The 2,891-nt window shown below is 39.6% G+C and overlaps 1 pseudogene; it reads right to left on the reverse strand.

Annotated features, from left to right (window-relative positions):
* On the reverse strand, positions 560-1,582 carry FCF1P6 (FCF1 pseudogene 6; annotated as a pseudogene).

The following is a 2,891-nucleotide window of genomic DNA, read 5'->3' on the forward strand; positions in this document are numbered from 1 at the left end:
TCTGTGATGAGAACATTCATTTTGAAATGTATAATACTCCACTATTAAGTGTATGCACCACTCAAAAAAAGTATAACAGAAGTGTACAATAGAACTCAAAAAGAGTATAAAACATATTTTTCCTGTCTGAGATTTTGCACCCTTTGACCATCATTAAATTTTTTTTTTTTTTTGGAGATATTCTCACTCTTTCACCCAGGCTGGAATGCAATGGCACAATCCCGGCCCACCACAACCTCTACTTCCTGGGTTCAAGTGACTCTTCTGCCTCAGCCTCCCCAGCAGCCGGGACCACAGGCACACGACACCACACCCGGCCAACTTTTTCTGTATTTTTAGTAGAGATGGGGTTTCACCACGTTGTCTAGGCTGGTCTCGAACTCCTGACCTCAGGTGGTCCGCCCACCTCGGCCTCCCAAAGTGCTGGTACCACAGGTACAAGCCACGGTGCCTGGCCTAAATTTTTATGAGGCAAAATATCAATTTCAAAACAGCATCAAAAAGTGAGCAGGCCAGGCATGGTGGCCATGCCTGCAATCCCCAGCACCCTAGGAGGCCAAGGCATATTTTTCTGTACTAAAAATACAAAAATATTTGTCTCTACTAAAAAATACCAAAAAAAGAAAAAAAAAAGCCCACTGGGCATGGTGGTGCATGCCTGCAATCCCAGCCACTTGGGAGGCTGAGGCAGGAGAACCGCCCGCACCTGGGAGGCAGAGGCTGCAGTGAGCCAAGATCACGCCACTGCACCCCAGCCTGGGCAACAAGAGCGAAACTTCATCTCAAAAAAAAAAAAAAAAAAAAAGAGTCAGCGTATTTAACCATCCCCATCTGATAATAGAGCAAATAGGTCAACAGAATAATAATTCATGCTATTGCATGAGTAATGAACTGGCAACAAGAGAAAGTTGGTGGAAGGAAAGGCAGAGGAAATGTGTCTTGTAAGAATTAGAATCAAGGGGCTCCATAATCATCGGACATCCATTCAATGTTGTATCTATGGTTAGAAATGTACATGATAGGAACTCCAGGAATCTTACAGATTCTTCTTTTAAGGTCCCAGTCAACTGTGGCAATAATGTAACACTTATGCTGAGTTATTTCTGTACTAAGCAGTCATCTGCATAGGTTCCTTGGTGTGCACATGGTAATAGTTCAAATCTTGGATCCTTGGTGATCCTTAGAGCCACTCTATACTTCTGCCCCAATTTCTCAATTTCAGCCATTACACAATCAGTTATACAAGGGATACACTTGGCATACAGACAGTCCATCATTGACTGCATTAAGTCCAGTTTGGCTTTTATGGAAAAGTTGATAAAGTTGGTATCAATGAGGATGTGGTAAGGTGGGCCGAGCTGTGTATTATATTGGAAAAATAAGTGGGAAGGGTGTTGGGGAACTTCCCTTTCCTTTAATGTGTTGGGATCCTTCTTTTCTTTCTTTTTAGGTTTTAATCTATCCTTTTCTTTAAGCCTCTGATCTCTGAGACTAAGGATTTGCTTCATGGTTGCGTACTTCCTTGTTCTATTTTGCTTCCCCACGGTCACATCACACTTCTGTTTCTTCTGTAATCACCAACTGAATGGATAATTTTTTTAACAAAGTTTGAACAAATGTCACACATTAAAAACACTTCTGAAAGTGTGAACACCATAAAGATTCAGAGAATGATTATAAAAGAGACAAGTAACGATTTGGGATTAATATCTCCCATTTTTACATGAACTGCACCATGCATACCAAACAAAAATATTGTGCCTCAGAATTCACACTTTGTTTTACTGTTTTAAATTTTTAACACAAATAAAATCTCTAAGAGGGCACATAAAGTAACAGATTTAAATAACTCAGGTTCTGATTCTTCACCTTCAAGTCACTAAACTATCATTTATTTCATATCTACCATTTAAATAGGAATATGTAGTACAACAGAGGTTGGAGAAACAAACTGCACACTGAGCAAGCGCCCACAGTTCCAAACCTTTACAAACTTACTCTTGAAATAAATGTGGCTTATATGCTGAGTCTACATGTGTTGGGACCAACTGTTTAACTGGGATTCCTCTGAATGAACTTCCATGTAGAATACAGTGCATAGTGAAGAATATGTAATTTAAAAGTGATCATTTGGTTCCGGTTCCAGTTAAGATGAAGTAAGCACATTTAGCCCTGTCTCTCACATTAAATGCAACAAAAAATCCTGGAAAGAATGCATGAAGCAGCGATCTGAGGACTCTGAAAAGTAAATAGTAACAAGAGGATTGGGAAAGGAAACCAAAACTTGAAGAATCATTGCTATAGTGGTGAGTTTTCTTGGTTTTTATTCCTCCAATATCTCCCAGCCTGGACTTAGAGGCAGCCTGAATCCCAGAACACCACACCCAGTACTAATACCATATTTAATGGGGAAAGACTGAATGTTTGCACTCCAAAATGGGACAAAGCAAGAATCTCTATTCTCATCACTCCTATTCAATACTGTAGTAAAACTATCCTTACTTACAGATGACAAGATTAACCATGTAGGAAATTCCAAGGAATATACAAGCAAAGCTCCTATAAATAATAAGTGAATGCAGCAAAGTTCTTGATACAATGTCAGCATTCAAATATGAAATGTTCATCTATATAATAGTAATGAACAATTGGAGACCAAATAGGTATAAATCTTAAAAAAAAAAAAAAAAAAAGAAAAGAAAGAAATAGGGGGGCCAGGCATGGTGGCTCATGCCTGTAATCCCAGCACTTTGGGAGGGAGGCCGAGGAGGGCAGATCAAATTGAGGTCAGTAGTTCAAGACCAACCTGGCCAATATGGTGAAAACTCATCTCTACTAAAAATACAAAAATTAGCCAGGCATGGTGGCACATGTCTCTAATCCCAGCTTCT

The sequence above is a fragment of the Homo sapiens genome, chromosome 1 (assembly GCF_000001405.40).
Source record: "Homo sapiens chromosome 1, GRCh38.p14 Primary Assembly".
NCBI classification, from domain to species: Eukaryota; Metazoa; Chordata; class Mammalia; order Primates; family Hominidae; genus Homo; species Homo sapiens.